Consider the following 24872-nt stretch of genomic DNA (forward strand, 5'->3'; position numbering starts at 1 on the left):
CTGTGCACTGCATTTGGGATGGAAAAATGGCAGAACCCTGTGAATCAAGCTTGACTCCAGTCTGTATACTTATCCACTGTTATTCTGCCTTCCTATTTGTATGCATCAATTATTTTCTAGATTTTAAGCCACATAATGTCTTAGCACTCCACCCAACATTATTAAAATGTTTAAAGGTTTCGGTATCTAAAATGATGAGCTCCCATTACCTGGAATTTATTTATAGAAAACACCTCATTTTCCAATAGTGCCAGACAAATGTTGCTACATATCTTTAACACTACATTGATCTGTCAACCTCTGCTAGCTGGAGTGATATAGAAAAACAGGAATTAAAGAAAAACTGTGGCTCAGCCAACAAAAGAATTGCCATAAAGCCCAGGTACTAAGGTTTATTTATTTTGCCCCGAAGGAGGGAGCAGAAGCTCCCACTCAGAGAGCTTTACGCACACTTCTAATGCCCTCGGCCTTTGCTGCCCCAAAGGCTGAAAGCATCATGTTAGATAGCGGGGGTCACCCCAAGGGGTGGCACACTCACATCAACAAGTAGCTGGCTGATAGTAACAGAGGACAAAGAAAATTCCTGAAATAGAAGCAGGGCGTTCCTTCGGAGTAGGGGCAAATATGGAAGCCACTATGATCTGAGTAGTTTAATGTGGTCTACTGAAGTGCAGTGTAGTCTAATGACAGAACTGAAGGTAACAACAGAGAATATTTACTCACCAGCATTCCAGGGGGACCAAGAAAGAAAGTCCTCCTGGTTGGGTCTACTCTTCCAGAGGAAAACTCTCAGACAGAGGGAATCAATTACCCATTCAGGAACTACATGGATTAGCTAAGGCACATGTTGGCATGTGGGCCCTGGGAGAAGCAGAACATGAGTGGGAAGGAAGAAAGTCATGACCCACACAGTGTGGCACAATCCCTCTTCTGTGAACTTCCACATCTTCAGTAAAGGGACAATTTTATAAAAGGCTTGGCTCACTGCAAATGTGCAGAAGGTAAATGCAAGCCAAACAAGATGGTATCCATCAACAGAAGAGTAGAAACAGAGGCACCTTAAGGAGGGAGTGTAGGGTTGGGATAAAACAGGAATTAAGAGAAAAACTTCAGCTTCCCCCAGCTGTGGAATTAAATATTCAAACTAAATCCCCAAGAGGCAGAGAAGTTCCAAGTGACATCCAAATTATAATAGTAGTAATTATAATAAAAGCATCCAATAGCAATCCCACTTACATGTCAGGCATCCTACTGTTTTCACATGCACATTGTATCACTTAATTCTCACAACTTCCCAGTGAGATTGATACCAATCATTATTCTCTCCATTTTGCAGGTAAGGATGCTGTGGCTCAGAAAGACTAAACACTGTGGCCTACATCATGAAACTAATAAGTGATACAGCCACAACGTGAGCCCAGCTCTATCTCCAGAGACAGTACCATTCACAACTACATTCCGTTCATAGCAGAATATCCCTGAGATATCAAAAATAAGTAAGTTTGTTACTTTTTGATCTAAGAAACAAGGCAGAGAGTAATACTCTTAAAGGTATTTCCATAAATTATTTTACACTTTAAAAATCCTATTTGTTTAAATTTAGTAAGGCTGATTGGTTGTCAAAAGCTAAGTTCTTCTGCCTGAATCCCTTTAGACTCCAAGTTCCTCGTCTATCAAATGAATGATTAATTGCTAAGACCCCTTCTTGCTCTTGCTGTGATGAACTCAGAACATTTCAATGCCTAGCAGTGAGGTGGGAAAAGGCTTTGGTGAAAATATCACACTGTCCTCATCATGGGCATGTGACACAAGGCAGCCGTGGGAACACACACCTGGCTCCCAGGCTCTGGAAACCGTCTTGGCTTCACAGGGTTGCATCTTCCTTTCACTTGCTTGAAAGACAGGAAGTACCTTTTAAGGAACCTAGGGATCCCTAAAATTCCTTAAATGCTTTGTTGTACACAGAAGGACATTAAAACCTGGCAAGGTAAGGGCTGCGACTATAAGGCTGCACAGCTCAGGGTCACATCTTGCCTAAGACCTGGTTTTCTGAGAATCCAGGCAAGGGAGCCTCAGAAGTAGGAGGAACAGAACACCCACAACACCTCGCAGTGAGGCCAGTGCTCAGGATCAGGACCAGAGATATTGCTGAAGAGGCAGCTAATTCACAAGACAAGGGCTCTCACAGTTTCTTTTAAGATGGAGCCTGATGAGATGGTTGTCCTGAGCTTGGTGGATGATGACGGTGACCATGTGTATGAGGTGGTCATCCTACAAGCAATGGGAAATGTCTGCTTCTGAAAAGTAGACATTAGGACCCAGAAAATGGTTCTATAATGAAATCAAACAACTCCTGCATGAAGTCCAGGAGGGCAAGAATGTGTGTAACCCAACTTTTCTTCCCAGCACCTTGCCCAGTGCCCGCCATAGGCACTCAATTACATGTGTTGAGTGAAAGAAACAAGAAATTGTCATGACTATGTCCAACAAGTAGGCATGCCAAATGCATGTAGTGTAGAAAACCAACTCTCAGTATGTTTGTTTAAAGAATGACTCACAATTTGGCATCTTCTTGCATTTACTCTGAATTCCTGACATGTGTACATATAGATACATTGTATAACCATGCTAGCTTATATGTGTTTATAGATTCCTTTGGATTATTTTCTACTCTTTTAATTTTTTAAATTTATTAAGTTTATTCTATTCAAAATAAAGCATTCTTAATAATAGAAAGGGATTTTGCAATATTTTGGTGTGTCCTCAACATGAAAGGTAGTAATACGGTTGACTATAGTGAGATTATATACATTCATTCATTTTGTTTTGTTATATCACAGCTAATGTGTTTTAAGTTCAATTGACAGATGTATTCCCAGTACTCAGGAGAGTGCCAGAAACTCAGTAGGCTGTCAATAAATATTATTGTACTCATGAATACACAAAAGTATGCAAATCAGTACCACCAGTCATGAAAAACTTTCTAATAGTCTGTCTTTACACAAAGACCTTCCTTTAGAGAACTACTTCATAGTGAAAATTGTGACCACATTATGATAAGCTTCCAGCAACTGCGCATCAGATCACTCCCCTTCACACACACACAAAAATGTATACTTAAAAATACATGTGGGCCAGGCACGGTGGCTCACGCCTGTAATCCCAGCACTTTAGGAGGCCGAGGCCGGCGGATCACGAGGTCAGGAGATCAAGACCATCCTGGCTAAAATGGTGAAACCCCATCTCTACTAAAAATACAAAAAATTAGCCGGGCGTGGTGGTGGGCGCCTGTAGTCCCAGCTGCTTGGGAGGCTGAGGCAGGAGAATGGCGTGAACCCGGGAGGCGGAGCTTGCACTGAGCCGAGATCACGCCTCTGCACTCCAGCCTGGGCGACAGAGTGAAACTCTGTCTCAAAAAAAAAAAAAAAAGAAAATCATATGAACAACGTGCTGGTGTCATTCCTGAGATGATGAAGATTACAGGAGGGTCAGGCTGTAGGGGAATCAAGTGTCCTGTTTTAGACATTTTAAGTTTGTAATGTAAGACTTCTTAAGAGACAGTTGGCTATACAGACTTTTTTTTGGTAGCAAACATTTTTTTGGGTTTAAAACTTTAAAAATACTTTACTAAAAAAGTCTTCATACAGCGTGATCCAGTTGGGGATCAAACACAGATTTTTTAAATTAGTTGTAAGAATGCAAATGTTCATATAAAAGCTATTATTAAAATTGTTCTTGGCGTACGGTCCCAGAAAGAAATGTTTTTTTTTTTCAGTCACACATTCATGTACACACATGCATGCACACACATAAGCACACATACATGAATCCACAACAACTGCCTAGGTGCCTAAGCAAAAAGCGTTCTGCACACATCCAAGCACACACAACCTAAAACATCTCATCTGTAACTCCAGTAACACATCTCAACTTTATAAACCTTCCCTTTTCAAATAAAGACAGCTTTAACATCAATATAGAAAAAGAAAATACTAATTCACTTATCTTAGAAAACTTTAGCAACATCTATTAAAAGCAGGTTAGAAGAACGATACTAAAAGCAGCAAAAGCAGGGAAAATCTACCAAAACAAGCATCTGTTCACCTTTTGCAGAATTATACATATGCAAGAACATTTTGCCATATTTTGTAACACTTTTTTCCGAACACTAACAGGTAATATTAGAAACATATACTTTCTCTACATCATGTATACATAAAACACAGAGCTACACACATACCAAATACATAAAAGAACCCACAACTCTTCAGGTTATATTAGAACTGCCCTCAGCCCCTCCTTTATACATCTCTCTTTCTGATTGTCTTGTTAAAATAAGAATTCTTATTTAATCTGTAATCATCAGAAGAAATAAGAACCAAATATCTAACTATGTCTGATAATATATGTGGTTTTATGAAGTTAAAATATTTTACAGTCAATTACAGTTAATACAGTTCATTTTTGTTCTAATTTCTGAATACTCTTTCCTACTTCGGTAAAATTATTGATGTAATAGCATATCTATGTATACTTTGTGCTAATAGAGCAAATACACTTAGTTCTCTATTGATCTCCCATAAGATATAGTTGTGGTTACATTTACAATGTTTCATTACTCGTATTTGAATATCCTGAGTACAATTTCTGGATGTATTTGCTTTAATTCCAAAATAAACTGTACCCAGTGGCAGCTCTGTTACTGAGATTTCAGTATCGAGTTCCAGGCTCTTCACCTCCATGCCAACAGTACTACAAAGAAAACACTTCCTAGAGCATGGAGACAAGAATTGGCTTCTCTTCTTGGCAACAGATCCCGTGTTGATGATTTTTAAAAGAATAAGTGTTCAGTTCAAGAGCCCTAGAGAGGCTGATAACTGCAGCTCTGGTCATTTGAGAAAAAAAAGGAAAGAGATTTTTAAAAGCCAGACACAGGGGCATGGAATAATAGACATTTCCTTTAATTAAAAAAATAAAATAAAATAAGCAAAAGCAAGTTTTGAGTAATAACATATGGAGCTCCTTATAATTAGATTAAAAACACATAGATACATACATAGATTAATGTCTTTGATGTGTCTGGACTTCAGATCAATTATGCACATGCTAATGTTCAATTTCCATAAGAATAAAGCAAATGACAATTATATGTTGGCTTAATTTTGTTTGACAAAGACACTCTTCAGACTCCTTAGCAAGAAACTTGGTTCTATTCCATATGAGTTCACTCCTAGAATCTGCAAAACTCCATGAAGAAGAAATTAGCTAATTTGTATAATAAATAGACCCAATCTCCTCTCATCAGACTTGCAGATCTTAGCTATCCTAGAATAAAAAAAGGATGAAGAGTCATAGGGGTTTGTTAATCTCCCCTCTGAATGAAGGCCTCTAGGAAATGACTTAGGTGGTAGATTTCACACAAAAAGGCACTTGGGTCTCTTGAGTGAAGACTTTCAGGACCTATGACTGTCCCTGTTGCTCATTGCTGCTCCTTCCCCTGACCACCATCTTGTCTCTTGGAAGAGAACAAATGCAAGATAATTACAAGAGAAAATTGTTATCTCATATAACTCTACCGTTTTAAAATAATTTCAGTCACCCTGTTGGAAAAGGCTAATTGAAACTTGAGTAAGGGTAGAGTCCCAGAAAAAAATTTTAAAAAATAATAAATCTCGATGGAATAAGAAAAATCTGCTTTCTCATTCTTTTATCTGCCTTTACCTGTATGGCTTTGAGTAGCTCACTTAATTTCTCTAGGTTGAGTCTCTTTTATACAATGAAGGCCTCTGACTAAATTATGTTTTAGGTTATTTCTAGCTCTAAAATTGTATGCTTCCATGCATAAGATGGATTGTTTGCCAGGGAGGTTTACCAGCCGCAATGGGGGAGCACTCACGGAAAATGACAGCAGGACTGTGGCCTCCATCTCCAGCACAGATAAAAATGGAAGCACAGTTCATCTCCATTTCTCAGCCCCTGATGAAAGTGGTGGTGGCTACCCAATCCGGAAACGATGGAATTGACAAGGGGAAAACTCGCCGAGGGAAATCATATCTTCTACAGACTCTCCCTTCTCGTCACCTCTCTCAACAGATGAACTGACATTGAGTGGAGGGGACAAATGGGCTTCAGGGACAGGGATGTGTGTATTGTGCGGCGCTGCAATAGCCACGTAGAATAGTAATCGACTAAAACTTCTTTCCTGTTAAAAACAAAAACAAAAACAAAACAAAAAAGTCTGATTCTGAAAAATATCTTTGGAAATAATGAAAATTATAGCCAACAATATAAAATGATTGGTGAGAAGAGAACCAGAGAAGATCTCAAGAATGCACACGTATCTCAGAAACCCACCCCACAATTGCCCTGTGAGCTCCTGTCTCGACGCTAAATAATCTTTGCTAATTCAAAGCCAGATCTTTAATCTTCATATTACAGAATGCAAATGCACATGTTTATACTTAAAATGAAAGGCAGCTTGATATAAAAGAATCTTTACTTCCTTCAAAATGCTATGTTAAGTGCCACAAATCTCCTGAAGATGGTATTAATTTCCTCTAATAATAATTTCTGGGTCATTAAGTTCATTGCATTTTACTTTATGTGCTCCTTATCAAGTACACAGAAGCCTGCGCAATTTCTCCCAGGAGTCGGGCTGCCATATCAGAAAGGCTCACACTTTCAAAGGATTAATAACACCTCTCTGGTGCTTTTAAAAATCCCTCGCTAATCTCCAGACTCACTTACGCTGCCCTGCCTGGCCTTGCTTCTGTGTGACGGAGGCATTGGTGCGCCGGAGCTAGGGCAGCACTCCAGCTCACAGCAAATGGGGAGCAATCCGCCAGGGCAGAATGGATAAGCCAACTCGTATTTCTTTTATGTCTTTCTCCCCTGGAAAGGGAGGGAAAATAAAGGTCACCCCAATATGAATAAAGCAGCCTTTTGATGAAAGGCATTTGAAGGGATTTCTCTGCTTGTAATAGGAATCCTAATTCAATTGAATGATGTGACTTAATCTAACCAAGTAACTCAGGCTAGTTAGCCTGCAAACTGGCTTGACTGGTAAAAGCAGAATTATTCACTACTTTTAACTGTGTTTTTACTGGTGCAAAACTTACCTTAAGTTGGTATAGACAAATTTTCATTTGCAAACCGTAAGTACTGATCCATGATGATGGTAGTAGCATTTATCGATATCAATCAAAAATCTCTCCAATACGTAGGTCCTCCCTCTCACATACCAGATATTTATTATCTCATCTAATAAGTTAGGGTTTTAAAGAGACATTGCAAATCAATAATATTTTCTATTATTTTGAAGGAAATTATGATTCTTTTGGCTGGTGTGTCTAAATTAACCTAATTAGAATTTGTTAATTTATTAACCATCCAGAGTGTAAAGCAGTGAACAGGAGAAGTGGACAGAGCAAAGCAGACACGGATGTAACATCCAGTTGCAGAGTGCACTCTGGAAACAGCACCAGGGTCGAAAAGTTGTACCCTGGTGATGAATGTCTCAGTTCTGCTCTAGGACTATATCTTCTTGTTAGAGCTATATCTTTTTGTTCAATACCTTTATCATATGTAATAGCTATGCAAACATAAATATAACCACATATAGTAGACTGATTAGTTCCCAGACATTCAGCATGGGCAATCCATGTGTGAAGCATGTTTTTTTCAGAAACCATAGAAAAGTAAACAAACCGTCAAGCTCCAATGCTCTTTTAGTCATTGGCACAATCTGTAAAGTGGGTTAACAGTCCTCTGAGATCTTACAGGATTAAGGATAATATTTTCAAGATTTAAAACAAAATCCTTCATTTCACTTTCTAATTCCAAAGCAGTACACATGTTACATGACGCAAATGAATTTAATATACTCACACGTGCAAAGAAAGTGAGGTTTCTGTGTTTTTTCTAGAATTGATTTCATCTTCCTTGCATGCTCTCACTCCACTGAGGGCAAGGAAACAAATTTGCCAGTTAATCATACCTTTCATGCTTCTCGTTCCATCTCCTCTTAGTTTACAAGCTCTCAGGTACGGGTTCAATATCTTAAAGAATTACCCCTCCACAGCTCCCAACAATGGCAGCTATTGCTGCGGTCACCACGGGGAGTCTCATGCATGTTCTTCTCTGGGTCCTCACTGGCCTTTCTTTTTCTTCTTCTTCTTTTTTTTTTTTTTTTTTAATGGAGTCTCGCTCTGTCACCAGGCTGGAGTGCAGTGGCATGATCTCAGCTCACTGCAACCTCTGCCTCCCGGGTTCAAGCAATTCTCCTGCCTCAGCCTCCTGAGTAGCTGGAACTACAGGCATGGCCACCATGCCCAGCTAATTTTTCTATTTTTAGTAGAGATGGGGTTTCACCATGTTGGCCAGGATAGTCTCGACCTCTTGACCTCGTGTTCGGCCCGCCTCGGCCTCCCAAAGTGCTGGGATTATAGGCATGAGCCACCATGCCTGGCCCTCTCTGGCCTTTAAGGCAAAAATGTTCCTGGTGCTGTGGTCATGGCTCTGCCTGCCTGCAGTGGTGGGGATGCCTACAGTTTGTGAGTTCTGGCCTGTTCCTTCTGGACTGGCTCTAAATCAGTTGGGCACCCCCTGGCTCAGCCCCCATGAAGGCTTGCATGCCCTGTTGCATACACCCAAGTCTGCCTGAGTATCTCATGCCATCCCTAGCCCACAGGCCTCCTGCTCTGTGACTATAGCAATGCCCTGAGCAAGCTCTCCAACCAGCATCATCAGCTACTTTACACAACTGTCCCCAGAGACCATGAGCTCCTGGATCCCAGCCAACTGCAAGAGGGCTGGAGGAGCTAAGTTCAGGCCCTCGCCTTCTGCCTCACTTTACCAAATGGCCGGTTTTACTGTGATAGGCACCAGCGTGTCCCAAATCCAGTACAGGTTAGAGCACTGGTAAGCGTCTGCCTCTGGGATCCTCAGGGATCTGTGCTGCCCCTCCCCACACACTGCCGCCTCGTGGCTCCAGGGCCTTCATTTCTCAATCAGGAACGTGAGGAAGCCCCAGAGCAGGCTCTCAGCATCTCCACAATGAGTTAGATCAGGTTGTAAGAAAGAGAGGATATCTTTCCTGTACTTTCTGTTCTAGTTCCCATAAACAGACTCAGCAGTTGATCTCTCTGGAAAAGAAAAAAAGAAAAAAGCCCTCGTTTTATATCCCAGGCTTAGCAACCATGGCCCTGTGGGGTCTACCTCCCCATAATCTCGGCGGCACGGGTTCTTCTAACTTTCTGCTCTTTTCGCTTCCGGAAAATAGGCTTAGCTTATCCCAGCCACATATAGTCTCTGTTCTGGCCTACCAAATAGTGTAGACAATGCATGTCAGAGGAGCTTATAAATGATAAACAGCTGTGGCTAGAGCAAGAAGGTGACCGGGAGGGAGGGATAGGATACAGATAGGTCAAGAAAGAGACAGTGAATCCAAATTCCTACCAGATGCTTATTTTTTCCTCAAAGTTAAGCTGTTTCTCATCTTTACATATAATTGTTGATTTATTTATTCTTTTCAGGAACGTTTTAAAGTGGCAAATGTGAACTGAAACTCAGGCTCGATTTTATGTTTCATTGACAGATGAGATTTTTTTTATTTCCTGGGCTTTGGAGTATAAATGACACTTTTCAATGGAATCATTTGATGATAAAAAATCTGACGGAATAAAAAACTATAATGTATTGGAGTGCCAGCACCTTTTTCGATAAGTTGAGTATTTCCCTGGAGATAAGCACTTCCCTAATGATGATGTCTCTTCTCTCTCAAAAATATTTAACTTTATAGAATTAGAGAAAGATAATTATCTGAACATCATCAGTGAATCAGTTCACATTTACACAGTGCATTCTCTGGGTCATCAAATGCTAAGTTGTGGAAATACAGCAAAGAAGAAAACAGACACATGATCTTCGTCCTCATGAAGCTTGTCCTCATGGTTCATCACTCCTTTGCTAGAAAGAGTACTAGCTGTGAATTCAAGATAATGGAATCTGACCTGCTACCAACTCATTAGTATCTGTACGATGTTTGTTGATCCTCTGGCTTCACCAAGAGTCAATTTCCTCATCTATAACATGGGGATAATAGCACCTGCCCCATCTATCTTAACATGTTATCATGAAGCTCAGATAAAACCACAAACAAGAAATTGCTTAGTGAACTCTAGAGTTCTCTGAGAAGACAAGGGAGTAGTAATAGCAACAAGAGGGATCGACAGAACCTGAGTTTGTTAATCACAATCCTGACAAAATTATTCTTTAAGCCAGCTCTGAAAAGATATTTCTTGCTTGGACAATACATTGTTTTTTACTTTAGTAGATGTGAGCTTCTTGAATAGCCCTTTATACACATTGAGAAAAATTTCTTTGCTCGCAGCCAAAGGGTATCACCTCTAAAAAGATATGAAACCAAAACTGCAAATCAAATAATAATTAAATATTAAACTGCTGTGTAGCATTCAAAAGTTACTAAGCACTTTCACTTATTTACCTCATTTAGTCTTATTTAATTCTGATCTTAATGTGTTTGGGTTGGCCATTGTGTTACTGTGCAGTGTCTTTGAAATGAATGTTTGACAATGCAAAAAACTTACCCTATTACCTTCTGAAATTGTCTTGAAAGTAAAAACTCCAATGAGCTTTCAGGAATTTGCACATCCAGGACTGCCATTTGAAAAGCTGCCTGTCTGAGGCACTGTTCTTTCCTGGTGCGTTTCCCCAGAACACGCGATGCTTCCCTGGGGCTGTATATCATCGCTGATGAAGACGGAAGGGTCCTGCCTCTAATGTAAAAGGCATCAGCGTGCCTCAGGGCCTTCTGACAGGACACCAGGAGGCTCTCAGTCTCTTGATCCCCTGCCAGGTGATGAGGGCTGAGGTCTCGTCTATGGACACGTTAGTACAGGGAAATGGACCAGCAGAAGAGACTCTCACCATTATTTCTTCCAAGTGAAAGTGGGAGAAACTGACTATCAGGCTGTACAGTACTGACTCAATAAAGATGTTTACTGTAAAGAAGTGTGGAAAAAAACAAACATAATTCTGTATTACACTCTTCTTAGATTTTGACTTTAAGATAATCCAAATGCATAATCATTTCTGCTCTGATGTTTTATCTCTAGTTTATTTTGCGTCTATAAGATATCTTTTTAAACTATGCCTTAAAAATGTTTTTGGTGAAAACTGAAGATGTATGTGTGTGTGTGTGTGTGTGTGTGTATTTCAAAATTGCTTTTATTCTATATTAAATCTATAATTTTTACTCAAAAGGCAATGTTTTATTATCCAAGTAACTGATAACTCTAAAATTTTGTCTTAATTTCTGCATGATAAACCAAGGCCCTTAAGGGTAGAAAGTGGTCCATAGCCAGCATTCAGTATGGTAGTTCCACATATTGAGATACTCAAAAATTGCTTGTTGAACAGGATATCATATCGCAATAATGACTAAGTGCTTTCAAAAACAGTAGCTTAATTTCGGATTGCATTTATAAAAATCATTGATGAGGAAGATTACTTTGAGGAGTGGGAAACTTTTGAAACTGCTTTAGTAATATCTGAAAAACCTGGAGTTCTAAGGAGTAATGCTAGAATTTCGAATAAGTCTAAATTAAGAATCCACTTGTTGGGTCTCAGGTTCATCTATCAAACAGAAAAAGGAGGACTCCAAGTCAGAGGTCGAGGTTGCAGGGAGCCAAGATGGTGCCACTGAACTCCAGCCTGGGCGATAGAGCAAGACTCTGTCTAAAAAATATATATATATATATATATATATATATATATATATATATATATATATACATATATATATAAACTTTATATAAACTCCAAGCTGATCAGAAACCAAGCATTCAACTGAGTACATTAGGTTGTCAGTGTAGAAAGGGACTCCCGCAAACCCAGCAGCTTTACCCTAGAGGAGAAACTCAAGGCTCAGCAAAGTTAGACAATCAAACAATTGCCCAAGATGACAGAACTACTTGGGAGGAAGTCGGGGGGGAAAAAGGGGTTAATCATTCATGTGTCCTGAGGGACCTTATCATAGGCTCCGGGACTGATCATTGCTGCATTGGAAATCTGAACAATTCAATGTCCTCCTAAGTATCCTTAGGTCATTAAGTTAATTTGAAGTTTGATAGTATTTTCATATTTTCCAATAATTGTTTCTTCATAGCAACAATTCTTCATTATGCAACATGTTGCCCACATTCCGGCTATTGACCTTACCCACGTTACCTAAGCTCTCTTCTCTTTAGATACACCATGTGTGAAATGAACAAAACAATCCCTCCTTTGCTACAGCAGTCCCTTCGCTGCTCAGCAATATTCCACTTGTCCTATCTGGACACATGATAGGGTCGATTGAACTTCCCACTCCCCTGGAATTAGGCAGTGACTGTTTTACTAATGCATGGCATCCAATGTGAGCACATTGATATGTTTCACTTCAAGGCAGCAACGACTAACAGTCTGCACAATTTGCTGATTCTCTTTCCACTGCCACAATGATGGTCAACGTTCCAGGTGAAGGGGCCTCTGTCAGCCACATCCCTAGGAGGAAATGACATGGAGCAGAGCAGTGCTGAGTTGAATGGACATATAAAGTGAGCAAAAAAAAACAGAGAAAACAATCACTGCTGTTTTAAGTCACAAAGTACTGGAGGTTGGTTTATAATCACAGCATAACCTAGTCTGTCTGAAGTGATGCACTTTTGGTATTCTGACATTTAAAATAACATGTGCCAAAGGAAGAAACAACAGATGCTGGGGCCTCCCTGAGGGTTGAGGGTGGGAGGAATGAGAGGAACAGAAAATAATAACTATGGGCTATAGGCTTAGTACCTGGGTGATGAAATAATCTGTACAACACACCCCCATGACATGAGTTTACCTATGTAACAAACTGGCACATATGCCGCTGTACCTAAAATAACCTTATTTTCTAAAAACTAAAAATAATGTGTGCAGTGTGGCCTAGCCACCGCTTTGGCTCCCATAGACCCTCAACCCAATAGTATCAACTAGTTTGATGGCCAGTGAAAAAAACCTTTCATTTTTAAATAAGAAGTTATGAATTTTTTGAAACAAAGAGGATGTTTAAAATTTGAAAAATATGAAAACAAATGGAGACAACTCTCATAAGTAATAAGCCTGGCTAAGCAGAATCCTGTGTCTTACATTCAAATTGCTCCTAGAAGTGGCAAAACAAATTTTTTCACGTCTGAATTCCATCAGATGTGGTGGGTGAGTTAAGTAATCACACTAAATAGATCCTACAACAAGTAATAGCACTCATTGATCATAGCTGAATTGCACACAAGAAGGAAATGCAGTTTCTGTACCAATAACACATCCTCCCCACTACACATATGCACATCCTACATAAATACTAATAATTTATAAGTGTCTAGGTCTTTGTCCTGCCCAAGCATTTTAAAACCTGTTATTTCACTTGGTCAAAAATAATAGTGAAGTATCAAATACTATAGTAAAATGCTTTTAACCTATTGTGGAGCAACTGCCCTGCCTAAGAAGCTCCTGAAAACTAGGGATCCCCTCTCCAAAATATCACTTAAAACCCCAAATATACATTGTGTACATAGACGCTGGAAACTTGCTGATTCACTGTAGCCCTTAATAGATCCTCGGTCAAGAATAGTGGCATTAACATTTTAGGATATTTTCACTTTTCCTAAGGATCTAGAGCATAATGGGAGATTTCAGAGGTCACTGACCAATATTTATTAAACAAGTCATTGATCCAAAGCATGTGAATAGGCAAAGAAAATTTTCATGGAACTGTCAAACACATATTCCTTCTTATGTATTGTGTGTGGGAGAAGCTCTGAAAACCCTGCTCTTTTATCCATAGCTCCTGAAAGGAATGAGAAGTTCTTTCCATTCCCCAGTATCTGAAAATTCCATGCAAACAATAACTTTAGAATCGTCACAGGCAAAAGAATTGTAACGATTAAGGAAGGAGGCAGAGACAAAAAGTAGTGCGAAGTGGTGCTGAGGGGAGTGGAGACAGTGTCTGAAAATTGGAGTCTCCACAGAACTGCTGCATCATTCAGTGTCAGAAGATGCCTAGAATTGTTGTCATATTTTGAGATTTTTTTGTCTTTTCTCAGCCTAAAACTAAGTATTAACCGGCTTTGAACTGGCACTGCAAGGACCAGTGCTCCAGTGATTAAGGACCAGAATGAATTACCCATCTTTAGTCTTTGATCTAAAACAACTGACCTGGCAAAGATACTGCCTAATTGTCTGGGACCGCCAATGGGGAGGGAAAGAGGAACTGCAAGTCCGTTCAGCAAATGAGATTGTCTTCATTGTCCATTTTGTAAGCCTGTAGACGTAGACTACAAGAATGAAGATATCTTCCTCATTATTGAATTTTATACCCTGGATTTCTCAGGAATCTATATTGACCTGAATTCACTCTCAAACCAGAAACAGATAGTAGAATTAACTCTAAGACAGAAGCTTAAATTTCCAGTAATACAGATAAGAGACTAAACATTTTTGTAGAAAGTGCCCAAGTGTATCTCTGTATTATATCTCCATGTTGTAAATGAGCTGTGGCTCTGAGTCAGACCGGTTCTGCGTGCTATCAGCCTCTATGGTACACATACAACACACCATCAGAAGATAAAGGTTCATTGATCTTTTGCAGTACACTAGTTTGAAACCGCAAGTGTTTTGATGAAGATAGTAAAAATCCACATGGAGAAGACTTAGCCCAGCACTCACATGTTTGTGATACTTTCAGTAGAGAAGACATTGCTCTTTCTTCTATTTACCCATATGACTTTGCTTACAGCCATTGCTTATCAGTGTGTGTGTGTTTACAGTATGTTACACCATTTTCACATTTACACACACATACGTACACGTACACAAATGAGGCATCAGGATCCAACTCTTGAGAAATAAAAAAATTCTGTATATATTGTAAATACATTATATACTGTATTTTCCTACTTTTAAAATTTATAGTGCATCTTGGAGAGCTTTCATAACATATAAACTACACTGTCTTTTTAGACAAAAGATAGCAAATACTGGTGAGAATGTGAAGGAAAAAGAACTCTCATACACTGTTGGTGGGAATGCAAACTAGTACAGCCGCAATGGACAACAGTATGGAGGCGCCTCAAAAAACTGTAAATAGCACCACGGTATGATCCAGCCATACCGCTGCTGGGCAATTATCCAAAGGAAACGAAATCAGCATATCAAAGAGATCTCTGCACCCCCCATGTGTATTGCAGCACTATTCACAATAGCCAACATATGGAACCAACCTAGATGTCTAACAACAGAGGAATGGATAAAGAAATGTGGATGTGTACACAATGGAATGCTATTCACTCATAAAAAAGAATGAAATCTTGTCATTTGCAACAACATGGATGGAACTGGAGGACACTAAGTTCAATAGGTCAGAAAGTTAAACACGGCATGTTCTCATTTGTAAGAGGAACCAAAGAAAGTTGATCTCATAGAAGTAAAAAGCAGAACAGAGGATACTAGAGGCTGGGAAGGGTGGAGGAAAAGAGGGATAGAGAGAGATTTGTTAAAGGAGACAAAATTACAGCCAGATAGGAGGAATAATTGGAGTCATAAATGCTAGTGTCACCTGGCACTGTAGGATGAATATAGCTCATGATAATATTTTGTTTCAAACAGCTAGCTAGTTTGGAGCTAGCTAGGAGGATAGCTAATGTTCCCAACACAAAGAAACAATAAATATTTATGGTGATGGAGATGCTAATTACCCTGATCTGATCACTATACGTTATACGTATCAAAACACCACTAGGTACCTCATAAATGTGTACAATTATTGTATGTCAATTTTAGAAATAAAGTAAAAAAGAAGAAAATAAGCTGTCTTTAAAAATCAATCATATAAAGCATAAGCATTGTAATGTTTAAATCAAACAGTATAAAAGGGAAAACAATGAAAACTGTGTCCCTCTAATCCCAAATCTCTAGTCTCTCAGTCTCTTTGCCCAGAGGCGGACATTATGAAAGTTGTTCAATAGAAAAAAATAGAAATAAATATAATAGAAAAAGAAATGAAGAGAGAAGACTAAAGATGGCTGCAGATTATTTGCTAACCCTCCATGCACAAGTGGAGTATATTTCCTCATCTCTTGAATCTGGGCTGGCCCTGAAACTGCTTTAACCAACAGAATATGGCAGAAGCACAACAGTCCCTTTCTGGGCTGAGGACTTTAGGGGGACAAGCTGCTTCCTCTTCTTGGAAATCAGATGCCATGTAAGACAGACTGACGTGCTGTGGAAATAATACCCATCATGCTACACACCAAGTAAGTGTTTAGGAATGGCTGGATTATCCACACCCTTGTCAATAAAGTGTTTTATGCACTCTAATTTGGTTAATATATTTTTAACTCTGACTAGCTTAAAAGGATCTTTTTGCTGCTTTGACAGTTTTGTATATGAGTGTGTGTGTTTTTCTCTCTGACTGTAAACTTGTTTTACCTTTCATATGGTTAATCCTTTTATTGAATTATAATGCTTTTACACAATAAAAAAAAATAATTCATTTTATGCTATGAATATTTATATAATCAAACTTCTCTAACTTTCTTTTATGGTCGTAGTTAACATGACTTTTCCACTATAATATTAGCTCTTTTATACATTTTGCTTTAGCTATTTTATAATTTCATTTCTTGCATTCAGTATTTAAGAGAGTTCTAATTTGTGTTGCTGTACAAGTAATGTTGATATCTAGTTTTATCCTTTTCCAGGTTGCTATCTTCCCCTAATTATTTAAATGCAAATTTCATATACTAACTTCTCATGTCTATTTGGATTTTTTCTTCTTTTTTTTATTCATTCACAAATTCACTGCTGTTATTTATTTTTAATTTGTTAATTTTCAAATATGAAATAACAAACGTATTTAACACCTGGAGATGTCACTAATACATTTGAATTTAAAATTTCAAAAAAAGTTTCTAGCAGGGTTCATACAAATTCCAAATGGACATTAACTCATCATATTATAAAATTAGCTTCAAAACTATAGAGAACTTTTTAAAAACAAGTTCACATTTCTTGAAGCGCAAAAAAAGAAATGGTTATTGTCACTTAATGCTTGTTAACACAGAAACACAATGGTATGTTTTGCCATTTTTTGTAGAAAATCATGTGAATTAGCAAAATTAATTATAAATCCTCCATATATGGGTCAAGCAAAATGAAAGTTTAATTTATTTGAATAGGCATGGGTCAATTTGCTCTGGAAAGATAAAATTAGCCAGTGAAATAAAACATTCCTTAAAATCACTGGGAAAGCCCTAATCACAGTTGCATTACAGTTCCAGTTTCTTCTGCATTATATCATCATTCATTTTAAGATGGATGTTCCTCTTTTCTTCCATGAATAGCGAGTTTAGTTAGTAAAGATAGGAAAGTAGCTTATGTATCTTTGAATCTCCTCTGTGCCAATCACAGAGCACTGAATATAATGTATGTATGTGTATGTGTGCTACATAAATGCCAGATCAATTATATGAATGCATGAATTCAATATACATATCTATATATCTATATATCTAGATATATATATATATCTATATATCTAGATATATATATATATCTAGATATATAGATATGGAGACAGGATCTCAATATTGAGACAAGGTCTCGTTCTGTCGTGCAGGCTGGAGTTCAGTGGCACAATCTCATCTCACTGCAACCTCTGCTGCCTGGGTTCAGGCTATTCTCGTGCCTCAGCCTCTGAGTAGCTGGGATTACAGGTGTGCACCACCACACCTGGCTAATTTTTGCATTTTTAGTAGAGATGGGGTTTCACCATGTTGTCCAGGCTGGTCTAAAACTCCTGATCTCAGGTGATCCGCTCGCCTTGGCCTCCTGAAGTATTGGGATTACAGGCATGAGCCATTGCACACTGCCCAATGTCATGTATTTTTATGTAAAACTTCATTAATCTTCCAAAGTCAAAGACAAAGGATGTTCTAAAAAAGTAAACTTTTAATATGAATGTTCCAAAATATTTTGAAATGTAATAGTGATTTGGGAATTCATTAATCAGTCATGTAACTAATATATTAAACATGTCTTTGAATTAATTGATTCATTAAAGATGTGTTCATAAACTATTTACACCCATGCCCTCTACTAGACTATGGAAAACACAAGGTAAGAGGTCAGTCACAGAGGCTGGAAGGGAAGACACTGAGTAAAGTCTTTACAACAAAACAGGAGCAGAGCCATAAGCACAGAGGGACAGAGGAAGGAGCAAGGGTACACACAAAGGACACCCAACAGAGCTGATTCTTGAAATAAAGAGAGACGCATACTCCAGCCAGAGGGAACCACGGCTAAATAGTACTGTCGATAAGCTGAACAAAACAAATAAAAATCATTGTTGGCTAGGGAATCTGTCTACAGATTTAGGATTAATAACTATGTGTTTTATGTTCCACTGAGAAAACTTCACATACATATGTTTTTCTCCTTTTATTTTTATCCTGGCAAAGAATAAGTTCAGAGACTTCCAGTTCAAGTTCAGTGCCACCCTGTATACAAAAGAGAAGCTCTGCCTTGCTATTCAGTCGTGTGAGACATGAAATCCTACTGAAAAGAGCAGGAAAAGACTTCTTTAAAAGGCAGTACCACTTTATTTTACAAGGTAAAAAATAACCACGTAATAGCACTATGAACACATGGTTGTTGACAATGTAAGTGCCATGTAACCATAGAGTAATTATCCAGTTCTCTCCTTCTTTAAAACAAAGACCAAGCTGAAAATCTAAGAGCTGCAAAGTGCATGATGATTATTCCGTTCATTACTTGGTAACTGGAAGTATAATTATCAAGTAATCTGCATGAACATAATTACGTATTTACATAGTCTTTGCCATGTAATTACAGAGGAGTTCAGTGATTACACAGTACACTCCTTGAAAAAGAAAGTGATACCAAAAAACAACAAAAAAAATTCTATGTGAAGTAGTCATCTCAAACAGAAAAAATTAAACATGAGGATGATTTATCTTAGAAAAGTCCTAAATCATAATGTTAAGTGCAAACAATAAAAATTAGATCAATTTCCAATCACGAAAACCAATCACAGTCCTTTTTATTTTTTTTGAATTATGGAAGCCTGCTGGGACAGTGAAACCATTTCATTCTTTAAATGCTCAGGGAAAAAATGGAGAGTTGGCTTCCTCATTTCAAAATGAAGGGGTTTTAAAAATATATTTATTAGTCTAATCATCTCTGGCTCAGTCTTCTTTCACCCACTATTAAAATCACATGTCTCTTTTATATTCTAAGATGTTTAATTAGTAGGTAAAGAAAAATGAGAGGGAATAAAGAGCAGTTATTGATCACTTAACAAAGTTCTGAGGCTTTCTTTCTATATCAAAAAGTATTTTAAGTCCTTAATCTTTTAAATCTTTAATATGAATGGTTTATGAAACGATGTTCTGAAATGTTTAAGTATTTTTGTTGACTACATCCTTATTACTAACATCTTTCTATTAACTGATCATTGACTCTTGCTCCCTGTTTGCAATGATTTGGGTCACAATGATTGGGTGACGTATTCTGCACAGTGGAGATTATTATTTTAGAAAGCCATTATCTAAAAGTATTTGCATAAAACAACAATTCATACAGAAATGAATTAAAAGTGACTCTTGCATATATACCATTGATGGTTAATAAACTGTAAGCTGAAAAGTAGATACATAAAAGAAACAATTGAGAGGTGTCTATTTCACATTAGTCACTATCCTCTAAATGGAGATATTCTTCCAGTACGTGCTAACTCCTGTTTGTGTCTAACAAGCTTGGCAAGTTGACTCTCAGTTCTCTAAATGCTATTTAACATGTTCACATAGTAATTTACTGCCATTTTTCATAGTTAAAGCAACATCTAAAGGTTGGTGACTAGCAATAAAAAAGTAATCAAATAAGAAACAATCAGAATGTAAGGCTTTTGAGAATCTTCATTGCAGATTAGCATATAAAACATAACGGTAGCCATTCTCAATAAAGACATTACAAATTAGTTTTAGTATTTCTTGTGAAAAAATATCACAATGTCTTTAAAGAATCCCTACTCCTAAATTTTAAAAAAGTAACACATATTCAACGTCTAATCCCCATCTTTCTTTAAAAAGTTTGGGCCAGGCATGGTGGCTCATGCCTGTAATCACAGCACTTTGGGAGGCCTAGGTGGGCAGATTGGTTGAGCCCAGGATTTCAAGACTAGCCTGGGCAACATAACGAGACCTTGTCTCTACTAAAAATCCAAATAAGCAAGTGAAATAAAAAAGTAAAATGTTTGATTCTTTTATAGGGATGTCATCCTCTTCCTTCATCACAGGTCACAGTAAGAGTAACCAGAGCAAAGAAAACCTCCAAAAAAGTAGCAAGGTGTCTCCTGTTAAAGTGAACTAAATATGGCCTGAGAAACACTCCATACTTGTTTATTTGAGTCCTCGTGGAGGAACAGTAACCTAGCTTAGTATGCAGACAAGATTGAAAACCTAACTTAGTAGTATGCACCTGTAACAATAGCTGACTGAGTGTTGGCCAATCCCAGAGGCCATACTTCAGCCACTCATAGACTGCTGAGTGTTCAAACTGTGTTCAAATAAGGCAAATGCTGAGCTAGAATCAATCCCACTGTTTCTGTACCTCACTTCCAATTTCTGTATGTCAAATCCTTTTTTGTGTCTATAAATTTGTTCTGACCATGAGGCACCTCTGGAGTCGCTCTGAATCTCCTGATTCTGGAGGCTGCCCTATTAGCGAATCATTTCTTCTCTTTTCTTTCTCACTTAAACTCCATTAAATTTAACTTGTCTGAAGTTTTCTTTTAACACCCCTAACCCCTCTACTGTCTACTCCCTGATTCAGAGACCCAGCTATTCTACCAGCAAAGGAAAACAAGAACACTGCCACCCTCAAACCCTGGCAAAAGCGGACTCCAGCCCTGGGCCTTGCATGTCACAAACACATACACCAAGATTACTTCTACAGGGACACACGTGGGCTGCTCCTTACCAGAGATTTGCCCCATGAGTCGCACCATTCCAGCTCCCTGGAGACTCTTTTCCACACCTCTCGCCTGTGTTTTTGAAGCAGATGTGAGTTTTGTTTGAATGTCCTGGTGGCTTGTGAGGTATGCCTCTGCTTGCATCCAAGAAGGACAAAGTGTGGAGGTGCAGGGAGAAATTAGCCAGCAGAAGCACTTAGGAAAATGAAGAACAAGTTAATAACACATGAATTTCTTCCTCTGCAATGGCATGTGAATGCAATAGACTGTGGTCCATTGTATTGTATTGATGAAGTGCTGCGTTCTGATGGGGACAGGCATCCATTTTCTTGTTCATCATTGATTTGATCCACCTGAACATGGTAGCTGAGGAATTCTCATGTCATGGAACAATTTAAGTTACACTGGAATATGTGTGTTGAATTTCAGTGTAGATTTTTGAAAAAAAGCAAATGTAAGTTTTTCAAAGATCAAAATTTTAGTGTTTAGTTTTATCTAAATGTATTTTAAATGTTCGTAATCATCACTTATAATTTATACTTCATATTTAGTTTAATGGGCAATTTTGAATTTTTAGAAAAAAACTTTAAAAATCAAAATAACTGAAACTTTCATTTCGTAATACTTTATATTTTAATCAAAATCTATCCAGATTTTGAACATTCTGAATACAGTCACTTTTTTTATCTTTCAATCACTACTCTTAAAAGAACAAAAGTCTTGTGAAGGTCTGTATTATAAAAACAAAGTGATTTTGCTTAATTGAAGATGCACAAAACTTATGAGTACATAATAAAAGTATAAAGTGTGTGTGTCATCATTTTACACTCTTCAAACATCACTGGTCTCTCAGTGGAACGGAAGTTCAGTCACATTTTGCCAGCATTCAGTTGTATAAAAACCACAACTTTGGACACACTTTTCAATTTTGACATTCTAAGGATATATTTTCAAGAAAAGAGAATAAAACATCTTTTATTTAGCATTTTAAGTCTGTCTCCTAACTTTTAAAAATTTAAGCATATGGCATCCAGACTTACATTTTTTTTGTCTCTCTCTGAGACCCCAAAATATTCAGAGCTCTGCAGATCTCTTTCTCTGCAACACAGGATGTTTCTGACCCCAGTACTGCCCCTTCAATGCCGTCACCACCACGGTTGTTGCCTTCCTATCCTAACTCACCGGTGCTGCCCATGTTTATTTATATTCCTCCTAAAAGTGTCTTGAAAAATAATGTGCCCTCTGACACATTCTAAGTAAACATCTAAAATTATTTTTATTATAATTATAATTGTTACGAAGTATGATTGCTGGTGTTTTGTATGGGTGTATTAAACATACTTCCATTGAAAACATACAGCTTTGTATGTATATCATCCAACTTGTTTTAAATATTCACAGTAATTTTGAATTGGAGAATCTAGTCTTCATAGTAATACCAATCACCTAAATTAGACCTACCATCTATCTAATGAAAATCTGATTTTGTGGCCAGGTGCGGTGGCTCACACCTGTAATCCCAGCACTCTGGGAGGCGAAGGTGAGTGGTTTGCTTGAGCCCAGGAGTTCAATACCAGCCTGGGCAAAGTGATGAAATCCTGTCTCTACAAAAAATTACCAAAAAAATTAGCAGGGCATGGTGGTGCACAGCTGTGGTCCTAGCTGCTTGGGAACCTGAGTGGGAGGATCGCTTAAGCCTGGGGAGGTTGAGGCTGCAATGAGCCGTGATCATGCTACTGCACTCCAGCATGGGTGACAGAGTGAGATTCTATCTCAAAAAAAAAAAAAATCTGGCTTTACATTTCAATTTAAATAAATTAATACCTTCATAATAATGCTCTATGTTTTCAATTTTAATTTTGAGATGATAGAAAGATAGATGATAGATAGATAGATAGATAGATAGATAGATAGATAGATAGATAGACTTGCCAAGAGGTTTTGACATGGATAAATTAATGTCCTGCCCTCTTAGCCATCTCTTCCCAAAGTTGTCTTTGCTTTGCTCTCAGGGAACTCCTCCTTAAGGGCTATGTACTCTCCAGTCATCCCCATGTTTGGCATTCCCAGGTTGATTTGGGTTTGGGGTTGTTTCTTTGTTGACATTGTTAACATATTCAGACAGCACAGCACTAACATCTTGGTTTCCTGGTTTTGTGGAACAGGGGTGAGTGTGAAGGGAGAAGAGAGAAAGGCAAACGACAGGAGCAGTTTCTAGGTAGATCCATTTTTAGAAAAGATTATCAGGAAAGTTAAAGCTCAGGAAACTGCTTTCCATAAACTTCCCACGTTTCCTTAAAATCACCTAGGCTATCATAGGAACTATCTATGCCCTTTTGCCCCAGAGGTATACACCCTCAGCTTGATCTAGAATCATGCACCTTCCAGAAAAGCCTGGGCAGGAAATTAGACGTGAATTAGAAGTGGTTCATTGCATCATACAAACTGTACCAAGTAATATTCTATAGAAGTGAGGGGAGATAGGAAGAATGTTGGTATCAATGCATGCTAGGGGTACTTCAATGGTTAATAATATTTGGAAACAAGCTATGGGGAAAGAAAGTATTGTACTCGTGGCATATAGGAACATAAATAAAGACCTGTGTGTTAGAAAGCCACACCACGAAGATCTAAGGATGAAGGGGATATGTTACAAAAATAGCTTCCATTCTTCATCTCCTCCCCATAACCATGCCTTTCGCCAAGTAATTCTTCAGTTCTTCCTATTCTGACTCTACACTTGCCCATGACAGTTGCTTTGGCCAAACGTGTGAGGAATAAGCTCAGGCCAACCCACTGGCCCCAGGAGGAGGAAGAGAGATGAGGGCAACAGGCCCAGACCACTCAGTCAAGACCAGTTTACATCAACCAATATTCAGTCGGCTCCTAAACATGTGAAAAAGTGAAGCCGAAAATAGCAGGATCACTTGAATATCCCCCAGCAATAAATGTTTTTAGGTGTATGTCAGGCAGCAATAAATACACATCAATATACACCATTGATATATCGCAGTTATTTGTTACACAGCATTATTGTGGCAATAGATAACTGATACAATGAATAAACAGTAAAAAAACAAATAGAAGGCCTATGGAAAATACTAGAAAATAAAGCAAAAGGAGTATCATGCTTAAAACTCCCTTAGACAGCATTCTGGCAACGATGACCTACATGGTGAAATAGAAGAAAAATTTCAGGAAACTCTTTAGCATTCTGGGTAGTATGCTTGAAGCCCGGGCCTGAAAAACACAGGGCAGAATATGTTATGGAGAGAACAAGGTGAAGCTAAAACAATGAGATGAAGAGAAAAGAAAGGTAACTGAGAAAATAGAACATTGTAAGCCAATTAAGAGTGGCATCTGATCAAAAATCCATATAAGAGACAGTGAAGAGCAGAATTCACAGTGAGGAAAATTCAATCTGTGGCATGGAAGACAAGCTTGAAAAGCTGCCCCAGAATGAAGAGGAAAATGTCAAAGAGATGGAAGTCATCAGAGAAAGAAAAATAGCCAAACAAAAGACATATAACAGGGATAATTAGTGTTTCAGAATCTTTTTTTTTTAAATAGAGTCTCACTCTGTCGCCCAGGCTGGAGTGCAGTGGCGTGATCTCAGCTCACTGCAACCTCCGCCTCCTGGGTTCAAGTGTTCAAGTGATTCTCCTGTCTCCGCTTCCCAAGTAGCTGGGGCTACAGCACCCACCACCACACCCAGCTAATTTTTGCATTTTTAGGAGAGACGGGATTTCACCATGTTGGCCAGGCTACTCTCTAACTTCTGACC

The 24872-nt window shown here is 38.3% G+C and overlaps 1 long non-coding RNA gene across 1 annotated transcript in view; it reads right to left on the minus strand.

Annotated features, from left to right (window-relative positions):
- Nucleotides 1-3875: 3875 nt before the first annotated feature.
- The window catches only part of LOC107984626 (uncharacterized), a 142002-nt gene continuing 121005 nt past the window's right edge, over nt 3876-24872 (minus strand). Inside the window, exon 4 of the long non-coding RNA XR_001750000.2 lies at nt 3876-6202. This is a non-coding gene — a long non-coding RNA (uncharacterized LOC107984626). The remainder of the gene's footprint in view (nt 6203-24872) is intronic.

The sequence above is a fragment of the Homo sapiens genome, chromosome 13 (assembly GCF_000001405.40).
Source record: "Homo sapiens chromosome 13, GRCh38.p14 Primary Assembly".
NCBI lineage: Eukaryota > Metazoa > Chordata > Mammalia > Primates > Hominidae > Homo > Homo sapiens.